Raw genomic sequence first — 20,240 nt, 5'->3', positions numbered from 1 at the left:
AGTTTAACTTGGTTTGATTGTGTACATCTGATCATTCTCTAACCTGCTCCTCCGTTTTCTGTTTGGGGCTTTATAAAATAATTTGTTTTAAAAAATCTCTCTCAGAGTAGAGTTACCAAATACAGAAATGTTTTGGCGCAGCAAAGCAGGTATGGGAAATCTGTGATGCTACAGTTAAAAGTATAAGGTCTGAAGTCTGATGGCGTGAATTCAAACTCTCTCTCTCCAAACTGTAGGAATTTGGGAAAGTTGCATTCCTTACTTTCCTTGAATATAAAAGTGGAGGCAGTGATAAAATCTACTTCCCTGGATGGACTCTTGGCAGAAATCAGTGAGACAGCCCATGCACAGTAAGTAGCAATGTCCCTAGTATTTTGTGTGTAGTTACTAATATAAAAACAAATAAATAAAAACAACAAAAACCAGAACAAAAAACGCTGTAATTGGTTTAAATAATCTAGGAGATGTATTGACTTATATAGCTGAAGTATTTGAAAGTAATGGAATTCAGGCATGACTTGATCAAGGCTCTATATTCATTTTTCTGTGATCTGGTTGTTTTTGACCCCTGTGTACCAAGAGGATGTTAGACTGTTTCCATGCTGAGTTCCATGCCAGGATTACAAGAAGGAATTTAAGAATCATGATTGCTCATTCATTTATCTTTTAGAGAAATGGAATTTTATTTTCACAATTATTGAATAAAATTTGAATGGACCATTCCTGCACAAGTTCTATAGCCAATGAAATGTCCTATGCTGATTAGCTTATGCCTGGGTTGCTATGTTTGAAATACTCTTGTAAGATTGATGGAATTTCCCTGAATGTAGACACATCATTACTCAACCTTCTAGATAGGGCTGGGGTCATTCCCACCAAAATCATAAAGCTGCAAAGCAATAAAAGTGGGTGGAGGGGTTTTTGGAAGGTAAACACAATGTCTTATACCATATTTTCATTGATATCAGTTATAATTCTTAATATATATAATGATTATTGACAATAATATAATAATCATGACAATAATATTTGCTCACAGGGCAGGTTAATATTCCTGGCTTTGTATCTGTATGCCAGAGGGCAAAAAGTTACAATCTTTGCTGATTTCTTTGACTTCCAGATCATGTTGTGTATTGTGGTGTAGGCATTCATATGTCATAGTATGATCTTTTGGGGAGTTAAAGCGAATTAAATATAGCCTGAGAAGGACTCTGTACTTCTGTATTTGAATATTTGTGGACAAACCATAACCTAACTTAACAGGCAGATAAAATTGAAAACCTAATTTAGGAGTACGTGCCTATAACAATAGCTAAGTCTTGGCCAATCTCAGCAGCCATACTTCAACCACTCATACACTGCTGAGTGTTCAAAGTGTGTTCAAATAAGGCAAATGCCAACCTGTAACCAATCCAGCTGTTTCTGCCCCTCACTTCTGATTTCTGTGTGTCATTCCCTGTCTTTGTCTATAAATTTGTTCTGACCACGAGGCATCCCAGGAGTCTCTGAATCTGCTGTCATTCTGGGACTATCTGATTCGTGAATCATTCATTCCTCATTTAAACTCCTTTAACTTTAGTTTGGCTGAAGTTTTTCTTTTAATAGGGGGTAGTTATGTGATTTTTAGCTGGAATACTATTCTGTGCTGGAAGCAGTTACCTCTGTCACTCCACATATTAGAATGGATTTTTAAGGTGTAAAAATCTGCACAATCATTGTGGCCTGTTTGTCCTTAGAACCTTTTCCATCTCTTCTGTGATCTGCTCAGTTTACAGAGATTTGACTCCTGCAAATTACCTTGCCTAGGCTCCCTTGCCAACCAGCTATCAACTAAGGGCAGTCAATGGAAAAAAAAAAGTTATGTCCCTGTATTAGTCCATTTTCATACTGCTATGAAGAAATACCTGAGACTGGGTAATTTATAAAGAAAAAGAGGTTTAACAGACTCACAGGTCCACATGGCTGGGGAAGCCTCACAATCATGGTGGAAGGCAAAAGAGGAGCAAAGGCATGTCTTACATGGCGGCAGGCAAGAGAGTGTGTGCAGGGGAACTGCCCTTTATAAAACAATCAGCTCTTGTGAGACTTACTCACTATCACGAGAACAGCACGGGAAAACCCGCCCCCATGCATGATTCAATTACCTCCCACCAGGTCCCTCCCATGACATGCGGGGATTATGGGAGCTACAATTCAAGATGAGATTTGGGTGGGGACATGGCCAAATCATATCCATCCCCATTTCTCTTCACTTCATATGGCACCTTTAGCTGTAGCTATATCTCCTTTATGATTCTAGTTCCCACCTGGCAGCGCTGACCTCCTTCTTGGTCTCTTTAGGTCTCTGTGCCGTAGGTAGTGCAGTCCCAACTGCTGTTGTGAATCTCTGGCTTGCCCCTCTTCCTCATTTGCCTGTTCACATCTTCCAACATGATCATTACTCGTGCTCCATGTTAATTTCCCTCTATTGAATTACCTGAGGTGACCTTCATATTCCTGGCTTGACACTAACTGATAAAAATCACTGCACTTCAAAATCCTGAAATTCTAACCTTACTAATAAGATTTTCCAGGAATAAATCCTGTTATCTACAATGCTAATATGATTTATTTTTTTCTAAAAATATAGATTTTTTTTGGTTTAAAGTAAAAGGTAGGGGCTTTCTTTGAAATCTGTAGTTCCTAGGATGATTTAATTTCTCAATTTCAAAAAGGTGTGTGTTGAGATATATTAAAACCAATCATAAACAGGTTATTTTAAAAACACTCTATTTCAACTCCTTCAGATCAAATTCCACTATTGGGTCATATTTAAAATAAAATTACAGACATCTGTTTTATGAAAAGTTAGTTATTGAGGTGGGAAACCATATTCTCTTAATCAAAGCTTGGAGTGTTTCTTGAAATGCACATATTGAACAAAAAGCACTTCAGTAAACCACACAAACTGCAAAACTTGATAGCCATCTAGAGCTGTTAGAGAATTGATCCTTTTTGATAACTGGATTGTTTTTCAAATGACTGGGATTTTGCCCATTTGTCTCAGTGATGAATTGTTTGGTCACAAGGAAGAGAAATTCACTGCAACTGAGTTGGGCCAAAATAAATAAATAAAGGAAAATGACTGGAAGGACACTAGGGGACTCCAGGACTGAAATTCCCCGGGGGTTCTCTGGAGGGAGTGGGGTTGGACCTTCAAAGCTATTTAGGACTCAGGCCTGAGCCTGAAATCTTGGCTTCTCTTGAAGAATTGCTTCATCTTCTCTCAGTGCCTACATGTCTGCCCCGAGAACTCATGACAACCTGCTCAGCCTAATCACACATCCCATGGTGCAAACACAAATGTCCCAATGGGGGTGCTCATGGTCAATTTCCTTCCCAGCAGGAATGGAGGGAGTAGCCTAATTTGCCAACATGTCCACTACACTGCATATACACCCACTTTTATTTTTCTTCAAGTTAGGCTTTTTTTTTGAGACAGGGTCTCGTTCTATCACCCAGACTAGAGTGTGATGGTGTGATCTCGGCTCACTGCAACCTCCGCCTCCTGGGTTCACGTGATTCTCCTGCCTCAGCCTCCCAAGTAGCTGGGATTACAGGCGTCCGCCACCACACTTGGCTAATTTTTGTATTGTTAGTAGAGATGGGGTTTTGCCATGCTGGCCAGGCTGGTTTTGAACTTCTGACCTTATGTGATCGACCTGCCTTGGCCTCCCAAAGTGCTGGGACTACAGAGTGACCCGCCATGCCTGGCCCTAAGTTTGTCTTTCCTCAATGATGTAAAGTTTTTCTATAATATGTTATAAACTCATAAAAAGAATATTTTGAATATAACTTAGTCATTTCTCAATGACATGTAGTGATAATCACTGGTATAACAGTGCCTGCCCACAAATGACTTTTGACTACTAACTGTGTTTGTATGTGTGATAGATACTGCATTTTTGTGTAATATATTTCTTGAAATTTCTCCTTTGTTGTCAGATGACACTTGTCATTGTTGATTGGTATTTGCCACTTCTAATTTGTAACTGCTGTGTTATTTGGTCTTGGAAACCAAGTAACCTTTATTGCACTTGCATACACAATAAAGTCAATTAAATTTTAGCGAGAAGGTCTTTCCACTGAGAAAATACTCATGAACCTAAGGGCAATGCACTTTGTAATCTTATGTTTCTGACCATGTGTGGGAAGTCAAATCACTTGTTTAAACAGATGTGCTTAATGAATGTGGAGTCACTTCATGGAGTCCCCAGAACCATCTAGTTTTAATATCAATTTCTTTAATTCCATTGTCATGGGCTCTCTTTAATCAAACAAATTATGTCTTTGGTAGGCAGAATTATGGCTCCCTGACATGCTCAAGTCCTAATCCACAGCATATGTTAACTTACAAGAGAAAAAGAACTCTACACATGTGATTCAGGTTAAGAGCTCGAGACACATAGGTTACTCAGGATTTTCAAGATGGGCTCAATCTAATCACATGAGCCATGAAAAGCAGAGAATTTTCTCCATCAAGGATCAGTTGGGGAAATGCGATGGAAGAAACGCAGGAGAGATGAGGTGTGAGAGTGATTGTCACTCACCATTGCTGGTTTTGAAGATGGAGGAAGAAGCCATGAGCCAAGGAATTCAGGGGACCTTAGAATCTACAAATGGACCTCAGCTAGCGATGAGCAACAAAGTGGGGACCTCAGTCCTACAGTCACAAAGAACTAAGTTCTGACAAAAATCTGAATGAATAGGATCCCTGAGTCTCCTTTAGAGTTTTCAGAAAAGAGAGCAGCCCTGATGACACTTTGATTTTAGCCTGGCGAGACCATATTGCATACTGGACTTATAAACTGTAGAAGTGCAAAAAAATAAATTTTTGAGCTAATTCCTCATGGCAGCAAAAGAAAACTAATAAAATGCCAAAGTCTTTGTTTTCTCCCAATAAACTGGAAATGATATCTTAAAATCATTGGGGGTCTCATCCCAACCAGCTTTTAGGAGATTGTATTTTTTTATAATCAGCTGCAGTTTTTTTTTTCCCCCATTTGCTCTTGAGAGCTTTGCCACATCTTTACGAGGAGGGGGAATCTGTTCTCTTGAACTTGGGTGGCCTTTTGTGATGACCACCACAAAAGGAATGACAGAAGTGATGCTGTATGACTCTTAAGACTGAGTTAGGAAAGGCCGTGCTGCCTGTAATGGTTTATCTCGTGACACTCACTCTGGGAGCCTTTAGCCGCCATCTAAAATCAGGCTGCTCTGAGGTTGCTATATGGATTGATGACTCAGACTGACCTCTCGAAGACAGAGAGGGATGCCCATAGGGGCCCAGTCATTCTAGTCCCCAACTGTCTAAGCCTTCCCAGCCCAGGTACCAGATGTGTGAGTGAATAAGCCTTCAAGAGAACCCAGCCCCAACCACCATCTGCTTTGCACCTATGGCCACGTAGAGAAACTGAGCCAGAACTTTCTAGATAAATCTAGTCAATTCCAGATTCTTGAGTAACATAAATTATTATTATTGTTTTAAGCCACTTTGAGAGGAGTAATTTTTTATGGAACAATAAATAACTAGAAACATTTTGGGCTATGAATGTAATTTTAATGAATTTTATGCAAAGCTGTGTGATTTTAATACTAGATGTAAGAAAATCCATATGCCCGTTATTCAGTCAGTAATTACACTGCATTTAACTTTAAGACAACAGTTTGCGTACCAACACTAACCTATTTTGCTCTTAGTTATCCCTGATTTTTTGCTTCTCACTTTCCTGAAACGATGAAGAACTTTTCTGATTTTTCTCCTGTATTCCATGTGCGCAGAGACAGGTGCTCTCTGGAGTCCACATACACTTAGAGTTGGGGATGCTTTCAGTTTTTTTAGTGAGTCACAGTTTTATTATATACCTCAGCTTCATTGACAGAAGAGCATTTACGCATTATTTTTTGCTCAATGCCTGGGAGACCTGGAATTGGCCTTCCAAATCCATTACTAAGTTCTTGAAGTAGATTAGATGAATCTGTTTTCAATTTATATTGATTAAGGAGAAATGACGGAAAAATATTTAAAACTTACCCAAACTAAAACTTGCTTTCCTATTCCTTGATGTAGCTCATAATAAGTAGTATCTATTTCTGCAGTTTTTGAACATTTCTTGCAGGTGCGTAGTATGCAGTAATTAATAACAATTGAAAACTTATACTTTCTTATCTTGTCTGAGGATATATTGTATGGTGTACTAAGGACATTAATAATGCCTTATTTTAACTGCAACTTATTCTGAGAATTCTGCTATAGCCTTTTTTTTCCCCAATGCACACTGTTATAAATCACACATAAGATGACTTTGTGGACGTAGAATATTTTAATTTCATTTTGAAACAGAATAAAAATTAGAGAACTAAAAAATGTGAGAGATGTAAGAGATGCCAGGGAACATCTAGTCTAATCCCAGCATTTTTAGGTGTGGCATCATTAATCCAGAGAAACCAAATTAGCTGGTGGCAGAGCCAGAATTAGAAAATTAATTTATAGGAGTGTGTCCAAGACATTCTCCTGTGAGGCGCGTTAGGACTCTGTGCTGATGGCACTGCAGCCTTATTAAGCTGCAGAACCCAACAGGTGAAATTCTCTTCAAGATAATTTGTTTATTGGGTTCTCCAGAGAAGCCATGACATAATTGGCTGTCTAGAAAAAAAAATAAATCTTTTAAATGAATGATTCTCTCTATTCATACTGCTAGTGTGGCCGGATACTATTTTCAGCATGCTATTTTTTTTTTTTAACCTTTGGGTTCTCTATCAATTTTGGTCTTTTGTTTCTTCACTTGTGACCCTCTCATACTTCCCTTTTGGTCATCGTCAGGATACTACAGGCTCACTGGTTCACGGAAGGGATAAACGGCAGAAGGCAGGGAAACAGGAGCCTTTTCTTGTCTTCTAACTTTCAAAATTCCAGGCTTTCCTTTGTCATATGTTAGGATTGGAACTTCAAATTTAGAATCTGTCATGACTTTCCACATCCAAAGTCTTCTCTGGAGTAAACAACATATTCTGATGTAAGGAAGATGTTTGTTATCAGGAAAACCAATCTCAGACCCTATTTGCTCCTGCAGAATTAAAACTAGAGAATACACACATGCAAACATGCATACATATTCATCGTAGGGATTGATTTATGCTAAGAATTTTTATCTTTCTGTGCCACACTGCTGTTTCACACGAGGTTCCTTCTTGAGAGTTACTTTTGAACTTTGACCCTACTTGAGTTTAATCTTATATATATAGCATATTTCATAATAACTATGTTATCTTATTCTTGATTGGTTGTGCTTTAGTATCCTTTAGAAAAAGCTTTCAGCACTTTGAGCTACTTCTTTAAGCACTTTGAGCTATTTCAATATACTCATTTTAAAGTTTTTGTCCGACAGTTCTAAAAATGTGAATGTCACCAGGAGGGAATTCCTATTTAGAGTACTGGATGTGTAGGCTCTCTTCTTAGCATTAAATGTCTTCATGTGGTTTTAGAATTTGGGTTTGGATGTATATTTTGTGTAGGTATTTCTTTTATGTTTTGGCAATTTTCTCTCTCTTTCTCTCTTCTGTGCCTTTCACTCTGTGTCCGTGGATTTTGCAGTTGACCTATCTGGGCCCTTCCAGGCTGCCTTTCTAAGTCTGGGTATGCTGGTAGCCATGGGGAGTTACTGCTTCAGAAGCTGTGGGGCTCATGGCAAATTCATCTTCAGAGCCTGGAAGCAGCTGTGCTCAGATTGTACCTATGTCCTGTGTCTCTGCCTCCTTGGCACCATGAACCCCAGTCCCAGTTGGAGTTCAAGGGCAGTTGTGTTATGCCTCCTTTGCTTAAGTGCTGGATATATTCCTAACCAAATGCTGTTGTAACAAATACCACAAACATCGTGGTGCACACAACACAAATTTATTATCTCATTGTTCTGGAGGTCAGAAGCCACCACTGGAGACCAGCAAGCTGGGGTCTTAATACCTGTCATCATTTTGGAGTTTTGTTCCATTTGTAATTCAGACAGCCAACTATTTCGTATTTTAGATTACCTATGTCTTTTCGTGACTTTCCATTTTTATGTTCAATCTTTCTTTAAGAGTCTAGAGCAGTGAGGGTTATACAGTATAAATATGCCTTGCCATCTTGATATGAAAGTCCTCAATTCTTAGTGGCTCAGCCTGGAGCATTCAAATACATCCTTAGAAAAATTTAAAATACCTGGCAGATTGTCAAAGGAGAGCAAGGAAGGCCATATGGGTTTCTTGGGGCTGCCATAGCCAAGTAACACAAACTTGGTGGCTCGAAACAACAGAAATCTGTTCTCTCACAGTTCTGAAGGCCAGAAGTTTGAAATCAAGGTATCTGCAGGGCCATGCTCCCTCTGAAGGCTCTAGGGGAGAATCCCCCTTGCCATTTACGGCTTCTCATGGCTCCTGGCATTCCCTGGCTTGTGGCAGTATCACTCCAACTCTGCCTCTATCTTCCCATGGTCATCTTCTCTCTGTGTGTCTCCTTTGTAACCCTGTGTCCAAATCTCTCTCTCCTTTCTCTTATAAAGACAGCGGTCATTGGATTTTGGAACCCCCCACCCCCTTATCCAATATGACCTAATTTCAACCTGATTACATCTGCAAAGACCCTATTTTCAAATAAGATTACACTCACAGGTACTAGGGTTAAGATTTAGATGTATCTTTTGGGAGGACACAATTCAATCCACAAAAGATGTATTAAAATATATCATGCCTATTTGTTTTACTTCTTATTTGTAACTTTTGCATCCAAAGTATAGAGACTGAGTCTGTTTTTCCTTCCCTGCCCCCTTTCTCCTGCCTCAGTGTTTTCTAGAGAGTAGCTGCTCCATAAGCACCTGCTGAATGACAGGGTGACTATCTATTTGCTGTAACATGACTACCCTTCCAAGACCTGCTAAAAAAGCAGAGGCAGACATGGAGTTAGCAATATTCTCCAAAGCAGCCGTGTTTCTAGATTCGTATGGAATGAAAAACTGTCTCAAAGGGAGCTTTTGTGGAATGCAGCATGAAATAAAGGAAAGAAAGCAGAACTAGAAGATTCTGAAATTGAAGAGCATTGGCTCTGCATTTGAGGGGTGGGAAAGACCTTTCTAAGAATGTTGCTAAAGATGAAAACCATAAAGGAACCTCTCAATAGATTTGACTGTCTTTTTAGACTTCATTGTTTCAAAGATGATAATTACCAAGTTGAAAGTAAAGTAAAGGACAAGCCAGAGAAAAAAAAGCAGTTAGGAGAACTGATGTCTGATCAGTTTTGAGTGATAAAGTGAGCTTGGAAATTTTCCTGACGGAGTACTGTTGATATTGCTGTAGTGTGAAGGATGCTCATTTTTGGTTTAATAAGACATGATATTTCCATTTGATTTGGTAAAAACAACCAAATTTTTTTTTGTGATTGCATATTTTATCTTACCTTTAAAACCATGACTATTTTAAACTCACCACTGTATTAAAAAAAAAACAAACTGTACTCTGTGTGTGTGGGGGTGTGTGTATAAAACCAGATTGCATAGAATTTACATTAAGATAAAACAGTAAGTGAATATTCTTATGGGAGTGAAGAGATTATATTTAAAAGTTATTTAAAACTGATTTGGTATAAAACAATTTCACCAAATTTATAGAGCCTTTTTCCTTTAAAACTAAACTGCAAGGTTTGATTATTTCTTTTAAGTCAATTAACAGTGTATTTCATTTTGGCTGTAAGTATGCCTTTCCACGCAAAGAAACTCACAGTTCCTCTGAAAAATGTCTTAGCCTCTTTGTCTTCCTTCTCAACCTAATCCTTTTAATTATTTCTTCTTGGCCCAGCTCCTTCACAAGGGCACTGCCGCTGCATATATGAAGCAGAGATGTTACCATGGCCTTAATGTCCTCCAGTTAATGGCTTCTCTATTTCTCCCCCTAGAGTGTCATCTTTATCAAAGTCAAAAGTCCAGGATTTGGGGTTTCAATCAGATATCAGAACAAATTGTGGGTTACCCATTTGTCTAGGACATGGAGTAGTTATTTGCCTTTGGAAGCGGGAGTGTGGAAACTTGCAGGGATATTTCGATTTCCATCTACTCTCTGCACCTTCTGAAAAGAATCATGGCACAGAGTTTTGTGGTATATTTCAGACTTGCCTGGACATACGTTTTGACTAGTGGGTGTGGTGAACATGTAGATCCCCTGCTTTCAATACCCAGTGATTTTTGGCCAAGTCTGGAGTGCACTCAGGAATCTGCATCTTTAAAATGAGTGGACTCTTTTGTCCAGAAAATTCTGGTGCTGGTGGCCTGGGCCAGAATTGGAGAAATTTTGATAAGAATGAAGTATCAAATAAGAACAATGAGGAGAATTGGAGGAATTTTGATAAGAATGAGGTATCAATGAGAACAATGAGGAGAATTGGAGGAATTTTGGTAAGAGTGAGGTATCAATGAGAACACCACTCCAAAGTGTTCCTTTCTTTCTCTCTTTTTGAATCTCTCTCTGCTTCCTTCCCTGGTTAGTGTTTCTTCCTTGGTCTTTCTCCTTCTCCCCTTAGATTCCTCCATTTTTCCTTCTCCTCATTTTCTTCTCCTCTTCCCTGTCTAACATATTTGTACATTTGGATAATAATAGGTGCTAATAATTACAGTATCAAAATAATAGGAATCATTTGTTGGTGCTCACTTCACTACTTGTGTTGAGTGTTTTTCACATATAAACTCATTTAATTCTAGGAACCATCTCATGAGCAAGTTGTAATCTCCACTTCTCAGAAAGAAGCTTAGTGCAATTCATTAATTTTCCTAAAGTTACATAAATGGCGAGAAATAGAACCAAGTAATCAGGCACCAGGAGGAGAAAACAGAGCTACCCTCTCTTGGAAAACTGAGCAGAATCAACAGAAAAAGAGGGAGATGATAAAATATATGAACTCAGTTATACTACTTCGAGGCAGTCTAATAGACTCAATGGGTATCTTATTCTGTTCGGGCTGCTATAACAAAATACTTTAGGCTGAGTTATCTATAAGCAACAGAATTTTATTGCTCACAGTTCTGAAAACTGGAGATTTCAAAAATCAAGGTGCCAGTAGATTCCATGTCTTTTAGGAGCTTGCTCTCTGCTTCATAGATGGTACATTCTTACTTTGTCTTTACATGGTAGAAGGGGTCACGAGGGCCTCTGTATAAAGGCATTAATCTCATTCATGAGAGCAGAGCCCTCACATCCTAATTGCCTCCTAAACACTCCACCTCTTAATAGTATTGCACAGGGAATTTAGTTTCAAAATATGAATTTTGGGGGGACACAAACGTTAAGACCATACCAATGACTCAGCACGGTTCTTAAAAAAAAAAATAAAAACAGAAACAGACTTGGGTTCAGTGACTGGTCCATGCATGCTGCACTGGAACCCACCCATCCTGTACCGCCATGCCCTAGATTTATTTACTCTGATGTTTCTTTGTGAAACTTGTGGTTTTTGATTTGTGATTCTCACCCTTGCCTTGTCCATGGCCAAGGAGACAGTCCACATATGACCTGGTCTTCCTCATAGTACCTATATAAGACACCTCTCATGTTTTAAAGTAATTATTGTTGGAGCATGCTTTAAAAATACGGCTGTGTTAATTTGCTTGATGGGTCACTGAACGGATAAGAAGTAGAATAGAGCCTGAAGGTTTGAGGCTTGAACATCCTGTGCCCCTGATTTCCTTTCAGTTAGATGAATCATGGCCTGGCTGAGAACAAAGGACTCATCTGACTGGTGGGAATGAGGATGTTTTTAGGTTCATAAAATTTTTAGCAAATCTATTTTAATGTTTGGGGCTTTAAAATTTTGCACTTAGTCAAGAAATTATTTTGGATGAGTATTAGATACTGCTCTGGCTGAGTAACTCAAATATATGTAGAATAATATTTTGCATCATCTTGGTAGCAGAAGAGCAAGGAACCTTCCAGGGAATAGAAAAATGGCTACAAACAGAGGTTACTTGTGCTAGGGAAAGGCACAAAACTGAAAAATTGGAGACTATTTTGAAGGTAGTGAGCAACAACATGAATGAAGAAGACTACTGAAATGGAGCTTTAGGGATGTATGGAAATAGAGCTTGGGGGGGTTCTACTCTTATGTGGTCAGGAAGACAGATGGCCCAAATCATGAATTGACACAAGGGCCATTCAGGGATAAGAGCTGGAGTTAAAAAGCCCATTCCCAACATTGATAAATGACCCTTATCTCACCAATGAGGATGTCATGTTGTCCTGGTTTTATGAAACCAACAGAAATAGTTGTTCTAAATGGACAACAACCACAAAAATATAGTAATTAATTCTTCTCTAGTAACTTCAAGTGTGGGCCTGTGGGGATGAACAAACAGGCCGGCTCCATCTGGCACTGTAAAACTATCCCAGAGTAAGCAGAAGCTGAGCTCACCAGTCCAGGCTGCCTTCTGAGCTGCTGCATTTTATGAGGTTATTCACTTTTTTTCCAAAGGCAGTGTCCTGTTCCCTTGTGATCAAACAGTCCGAAGACACAAAAGTGAATCTGAGTATTTATTTAGAGTTTTAAATCTTTATCTTGTAACTTATTTGGAATTGAAGCTAAAGAATAGGAAAACCAACTAGATTAAAAAAAATACCTATATATCAGTGACTGTACTCTGCAGCCTCTTCTCGTAGAACGGTATCAGAGGAAAAGAGCTTTACATGCATTATGAAGTACTTATGGAGAAACATTGTTTTGGGTACTTGGAAAAAGTTGAGTTGGGGTATGTATATGAATGGTTGGATTTAATATGTTTCTTCGATTGATTAAAGATTATCCACAGGCAAGATGAACAACTGTTGGATCTGACATAAGAGTAAGTGTGGTGTTTTTGAAAGTGATAACTGCTACATCACATATAAAAATGGGAAAGCAGGAAAGCACAAGAGAGTGAACACCCTTTTGAGAGAGGAGGAAGGAAGAAACCAGTCAGGCAGGGAGTTAGGGTGGGTCTTTGGTAACCCAGATAAGAGCAAGCCCATGTCTTTGAATGGAAACACCTATTCTGTAAACCCAGATGAACAAATGCCACTCCTTTTTTGGACACATTTCTCTCTACTTGGTACATGCCTTTATCTCTTACTTCTCACTTATTTTACATATGCCTACCTTTCTATGTTTAGCTGTGAGCTGAATCTTCATTACATAGGGTGCATCATCACTTCAGCCCCTGATTGGTTCTGGGCCAAACCTTCATTTCAGCCCCCAGTTGGTTCTTTTCACTGTAATATCTCTTTCTAAGTGGTGCTTTCTCCAAGACCACCTGCAGACCAGTCAGCACACTCTTCCCACTTCCCAGTCCATAAAAACCCAAAACTTTGCCCCAGAGCTGGTAACCCTCTTTCGGGTCCCCTCTCCATGCTTAGAGATTTTCTGTTGCATAATAAATCCAAGTCTGTTGTACTCACTCTCCAGAGTCCGCGTGCCTTATTCTTCTTGGTCATGGAACAAGGACCCAGAGCTCGCTGGCTGGCCGTGGGAGTAATACAGCTATAACACTCCCACTCACTCACCAAACAACAGGGATGAAAAAGCCGCAACACTGTCATTTAGAAAGAAGAGGCCAGTACTCATATCCAAGTTCTGCCATGGCTACTAAATTTAGCCATTCTGAGCTTTTCTAAGAAAATCTACCAAAGAGGAGTGATAACCCCAGTCTTACTAATATCATTGTATCCTAAGGCTACAATGCTAAGGAAAAGCATATCCTACCCTTGCCTTTGCGGGTTTACAATGCAATGGGAAGAAGGAGAAATATAATGATTAAATAATTTAATGAATGACTTTAAAATTACAGATCTGATAAGTGCTATGAAGAAAAGGGACATGGGGAACATAGCAGAAGGATCTGAGGATGTGCTATTCAAGACAGAATCTACTAATAAGGCGGAGGGTGAGGAAAGGGAGTTGTTAGGTTTTATAACAAAAAAAACTGATGTACTGGTGGCCAAGGGTATACAGTGTGTCCAAGGAGTAACAGAATGTGACAGGGAGGGAGGAGAACATAGGTCAAGTCGAGGTTTGTGAAGGTGGACAGGAGACAGACCATGCCAGTCTGTCTGTCCAAAAAGACCATGATGATCATTTGATTTTTGTCCGTTTTTGTTTTTTTGTTTTGTTTTGTTTTTTGAGGTAGAGTCTTACTCTTTCTCCCAGGCTGGAGTGCCACGGCATGATCTTGGCTCACTGCAGCCTCTGTTTCCCAGGTTCAAGCGTTTCTCATGCCTCAGCCTCCCGAGTAGCTGGGATTAGAGGTGCCTGTCACCATGCCTGGCTAGTTTTGTATTTTTAATAGTTTTAGAAACATGGGGTTTCACCATGTTGGACAGGCTATTCTTGACCTCCTGACCTCAAGTGATCCACCCGCTTCAGTCTCCCAAAGTGCTGGGAATACGGGTATGAGCCACCACACCGAGCTAATTTTTGTGGTCTTAGTAGAGATGGGGTTCTACCACGTTGGCCAGGCTGGTTTCAAACTTCTGACCTCAAGCGATCTGCCCTCTTTGCCTCCCAAAGTGCTGGGATTACAGGCATGAGCCACCATGCCCGGCCCATTTTGTCTTTGTTCTAAGACAAGCATGAGCTTGGCTTGCTTAGGCCACCATTCAGGAAAAGCTCACTCTGGCTGGGCATGGAGAACTGATTGGAGGAAGAAAGTATAGATGAGGTAGGCCACTCCAGGAGATCACAAGAGCTGACAATAGTTTCGATCAGGAAAGTTTTGATGACCGTGAAGAAAACCAAATGGATTCAAGAAGTATTTAGGAGGCAAAATGGCAGACTCAGAGTGGGTCAGACACGGGGATAAATGGGCGAATGTATCAGAGAGCTCCCCCATTTCAGGGTGGCATGACTGGAGATGTAGCAATGTTGTTCCTGACATGGGAAGTCTTGGAGGAGGGAGGACAGGAGTTCCGTTTGGGATGTTTTCAGTTTGAGGTGTTATGAGGCATCAGATGTATGTGGTGGGATACATATGTCTGGTTATTGGAAAAGGGGTCAAGCCTGAATCTGAAATGGTGAATTACTAGCTGTATTTATTAGTCAGGGTTCTCCAGATAAATAGAACTTATAGGTATATTGGTATACCTATGTGATACATAGTATAATATGTATTGTATATTAAATTATATTTCCTATAGGATACATATTATATTGTATAACATATAAAGCATCTATTATATATTTTATTATATATTGCATATATATTGAGAGAGAAAGATTTTTAAGGAATTGGGCCATGTGATTGTAGGAGCTGGCAAGTTTGAAATCTGTAACCCTGCGGGCTGGAAACTCAGGTAGGGTTTCTACGTTGCAGCCCTAAGGAAGATTCCTTCTTCTTCAGGAAACCTCAGTATTTGCACTTCAGACCTTCAACTGACTGGACAAATCCCACCCACTTTATGGAGAGTAATCTGCTTTACTCAAAACCTACTGATTTAAATATTAATTACATCTAAAAAATACCTTCAGCACCGTATCTACACTAGTGATTGAACAAACAACAGTGCACCATAGCCTAGCCAAGCTGACACACAAAATTAACCCTTACACCAGTTAGAGCAAAATTTTGGTGACATTTCTATTTTTTTTTGAGACGGAGTCTCGCTCTGTTGCACAGGCTGGAGTGGCGCCATCAAGGCTAACTACAAGCTCCGCCTCCTGGGTTCACGCCATTTTCCTGCCTCAGCCTCCCAAGTAGCTGGGACTATAGGCGCCCGCCACCACACCTGGCTATTGGTAAATAAGTCATGTGATAGTAGGTACTGAAGATTAAAACAAAATCCAGGGGGGCACCCTTCCAGGCTTTGTGAAATTCAGTGGGGGAGACAAACCTCTAACGACAGTGCAGGAGGTTCAGTGCTAGAGCCCTTGGGGGTCCTGTGAGCTGAGAGAAGGCACCTCTAAACCGGAATTGGAGGTGGGGGACAGTTTCCTAAGGGTGGTAGTCAAGGGAGGAAAGAGACATTTGAAGATTGCTTCTGGATCATGGAGAAAGAAGAATAGAGATTTGTTCTGAATTATGGTAATTAACTAGGTTCATTAGGGAAGTAAGACATATTTATAGAGAACTTGCCATTGTTAAGTGGTTCAACTTATTGTGAGAGGAAGAGACAGTGTCCCAAACATGCGAATACATATACTAACAACATGAAACTCTTCTGTCTTTACATGTATTATTCTAACAGTTTTATAATCATAATTTGTCTCTGGAATTCTGAAAATCTGAAAACTAAAGGCCACTTTAACCTTGCCTTTGGAAGTCAGAATTATTTCTTTAGAGTCATGCCTTACCAAAGGGCACCTCTACAGAATATGTTTAACATTGATATAGAGGCTCAAAACCATACAGACCATCTTGCCTTGGCTTCTGGGTTCTTCTCTCTGCTTCAAGTTAGTACCACAAGCTTTTTATTCATAACAAAACCACAAGGTTTTTATTCAAGACACTCAGTTTCAAATTCAGGCAGCCTGCCTTCACTCAGATAACAATCCTCGGAGCATGAACCACTATTGTGCGAATTTTAAAGAGGCATAGGGAAGGACAAAGCAAACAGGTGGGGATTGTCCTGTGATGGTGGCATTTGAGGACTGCCCCTTTGATGGCTGCTATCAGGCACGGTGCAGAGCTGGGCAGGCTCCAATGCGCTTGGTGTAGTGCATTCTTGAGATAACATCACCGGTAGGAATGAGGACCATGGCTGGTCTTGCTACTGAGTTTTTTCCAGCTGAGCAAAATGTTTAACAGAGAAGTTGAAAGCCTGCAGACTAAAGAACCATAAAATGACGGTCTGTTTATGTTTTGATGATTTACTTAGCCTATTTTTCCCCTCCTGTTAGTGCTGCAGGTTTTAGAGAACTTATGTCTGATGGTTTATCAGGCATAGTTTTACCTTTATTGTATAACTAATCACTTTCCACATATCTGGGAGACTCTTTCCCTTTCATCATCATCACCTTGATACTAAAATATGTTTGATTTAGTGTCTTTATTAGGACTGTCTGACAACAGTTATTTTCCCTCACCACCTATGATTAGCTGGCATTATGTAGTTGGGCACCTGCAGTGCATGTCAGGGTCCAGCTATGTGAATTTCTCTCTTTCCCTCTTCACCAGGCAAGACACTGTCATCAATCAAAAGTTGACTAAATTTACTCATGTTACTGCTGGCAAATAATTCCCCTTCCCACTTTATAATAGTCTAATTCCATTTCTTACAAACACAAAAAGATGAGGAATTTAGCCACATTACCAATTTTCAGAGCATGGAAATAAACATTTTTTGAAATGGGATAGCAAGAAAGAGAATTCTAAGGATCATTCTTATCTGAAAGGAACCAACTGCAAAATCATGGCAAACCACATTTGTAAGAAAAAAAAAACCCTCAGCATATTGCTGAATGAAGTTCTATAGGAATTCTGACATGCCAAGGACTCTTCCCACAGTTTTTCCTGCTCTCAGTTGTGAAATTCTCCATAGTTGAGAAACCCCATCTGTACCAAAAATACAAAATTAGCTGGGCATGGTGGTGCATGCCTGTCATCCCAGCTGCTAGGGAGGCTGAGGCAGGAGAATTGCTTGAACCCAGTAAGGGAGGTTGTGGTGAGCCAAGATGGTGCCATTGCACTCCAGCCTGGGCAACAAGAGTAAAACTCGGTCTCAAAAAAAAAAAATTCTCCATAGTTTATTTCATTGTCTGCTTTTCAGTAACCCAAGTAACTCACAGGGTCTTGTATTTTTTCTTTGTTTAAAATATCAATGTTGCAAAAAAAAAAAAAAAAAAAAGCAGGGGCACCAGGATGCTCTGATTATATTGTAACTGGTTCACCTTTAAAAGTCTTTGTACTCTTTAAAGAAGTCTGAATGTCTCAGAAATTTCTAGAAAATCTTATTGCTCACTTAGGGTATTTTTTCTCCAGCATAGACCTTGATATCATAGTCATTAATGGCCTTATCTTTTTTTCACCTTTGGCACTTAATTGATTAGAAGCTTCCCAGAAACATCCATCAGCACCCCCAAGAGGAAGATGTCTGAGCCCCCAGAGAATCAATACATGGAGATCTCCAGAGGTTTTCCACGGGGTAGAAACATCGACAAGGACTTCGGAAACACACCACTTGAATACCTTCAAGGTGAAGCTTTTTAAAAATTTTTCTTTTTCCTAGGCTGCTTTTCTTCTTATTTTTGCAAGAAAGTAAAGCAAGAGAAAGAATATTTGCCTTTGTCTCTGCTTCATGACTTTTCATATAATGATTAAAGTTCTAGCATGTATTAGTGCTTGTTATTATTAAAATGTCTTCCTCACAACTAAACCTACAGCTAACATGTGGCCTTTTTGAAAGATATCACAATAAAGCTTATAGAAGAAAGCATAGGAAAATATTTTCATGACCTTGGGGTAGGCAAAAATTTTCTATAATTGGACACAAAAAGCACTAGCTTTAAATGAAAAAGTTGATAAACTGAACTACATTAAGAAGTTCTGTCCACCAGTAAACATCATTGAGAAAATGAAAAGGCAAAATACAGCGTGGAAGAAGTCATTTGCAATGCATTTATCTGCCAAAGGACCTATACCTAAACTGTGTAAAGAATTCCTACAAAACAGTAAAAAAAAGAAGAATCTTTAAAAGTGCACAGACCCTTTATAAAAAGACATTCAAATGATCAATAAATGTGAAAATATGTTCAATGTCTTTTATTCATTGATAAAACAATAAATATAAAAATAATAAAAGCATAACATTATATAATCTATATGCCTACCAGAATGGCTAAAATAAAAATCATACTAATAAAAATCATACTAAAAACATTCAAATGTTGGTAAGGAAATGGAGCAACTGGAATTCTCATACACTGCTGAGAGGAATGTCAATCAGTATAATCTCTTTGAAAACTGTCAATAGCCCTTAAAGTTAAATAATTGCATATCCTACAGTCCAGCCCTTTTTCTTCAGGTGTGTATATATCTCTTCACCAAAAGACATGGATACAAATGTTCTTAGAAGCATTATTTCTGATAGCCCCAAACTGAAAACAACTCAAATGTGTATCAACACTACAAGGGATAAATTGTGGTAAATTTATTTAATGGAACATCATACAATAATGAAAAAGAACAAAGCATTTCTACAACACAATGCTGATCAACTTCACATACATTATGATGAGTGAGAGAAGTCAGATAAAAAAGAGTACATAATTGTATGTTCTCCTTTATATCAAGTCCCAAAACAGGCAAACCTAATTCTATTTTTTTTTTTTTTTTTTGAGACAGAGTCTCGCTCTATGACCCAGGCTGGAATGCAGTGGCCCGATCTCCGCTCACTGCAATCTCCACCGCCCGGGTTCAAGCAATTTCCTGCCTCAGCCTCCCGAGTAGCTGGGATTACAGATGCCTGCCACCACACTTGGCTAATTTTTGTATTTTCAGTAGAGACGGGGTTTCACCATCTTGGCCAGTCTGGTCTTGAACTCCTGACCTTGTGATCCACCAAGCTTGGCTTCCCAAAGTGCTGGGATTACAGGTGTGAGCCATCATGCCCAGCCGCAAACATAATTCTTAATGTTAGACGTCAAGGTAGTGGGTATACTTTGTGGAGTAGCAACTATAAGGGTACTGTGGGGGTTTGAAGTTATAGTAACCTTTCAGTTGTTGAATCTCATGGAGTTAGGGGAAGAGAAAAATAAACTCAAAGATAAAAAGTCATGACATTTTTTGAATCCTGCAGAGATATACTATGGAAGAAAATGTCAACTAATATTTACATTTTTTAAAAAAGCTAATTAAGTCAAGATGTTTATTTTTTATGAGAACAGAAGGCACAATTAGGCAGAAAAGAAGCATTTTATAATAAAATTGTCTAATGTTTCCCTGGAAATCATTGAATGGCAAGCAAAGATCAACATCTAGACTTACAGCATGAGGCTGAGTCTCTTAGATTCTATGTGGAAGAGACTTCTTGGTCCTGTTCCTGAGCTCACTAGATTTGTTGCTCCCCAAAATTTAGACTTGTCAACATTTCTTCTAATGCTTCAGGTCATTTTCCAAGTGACGTGAGAAACAGTTATTCACAGAGCAAGGTTTTTCTGGCATACAACTGAACAGATCTCAAGATCTTTTACAAGGCCAAATTTTGAGGGCATCATGATTGATCAT

At 39.2% G+C, this 20,240-nt stretch overlaps 1 long non-coding RNA gene across 1 annotated transcript, besides 1 other annotated feature; it reads left to right on the top strand.

The window, feature by feature from the left end:
• Positions 1 to 236: 236 nt before the first annotated feature.
• LOC124903724 (uncharacterized) lies at positions 237 to 18,390 on the top strand. Its single transcript, XR_007065120.1, has 2 exons — positions 237 to 350; positions 18,065 to 18,390. It is a non-coding gene; the product is annotated as an uncharacterized LOC124903724 (long non-coding RNA).
• Positions 6,594 to 6,763: an enhancer, noted in NCBI's record as "experimental_44883 CRE fragment used in MPRA reporter constructs". NCBI's record gives its function as "activates a minimal promoter by MPRAs in K562 erythroleukemia cells, with activity observed for both the introgressed and non-introgressed 16:77053593 variant alleles {active_cell/tissue: K562}" and the evidence as "EXISTENCE:reporter gene assay evidence [ECO:0000049][PMID:34662402]".
• Positions 18,391 to 20,240: the final 1,850 nt, after the last annotated feature.

This window comes from Homo sapiens, chromosome 16 (genome assembly GCF_000001405.40).
Source record: "Homo sapiens chromosome 16, GRCh38.p14 Primary Assembly".
NCBI classification, from domain to species: Eukaryota; Metazoa; Chordata; class Mammalia; order Primates; family Hominidae; genus Homo; species Homo sapiens.
This window is presented reverse-complemented; position numbering and strand designations above follow the sequence as displayed.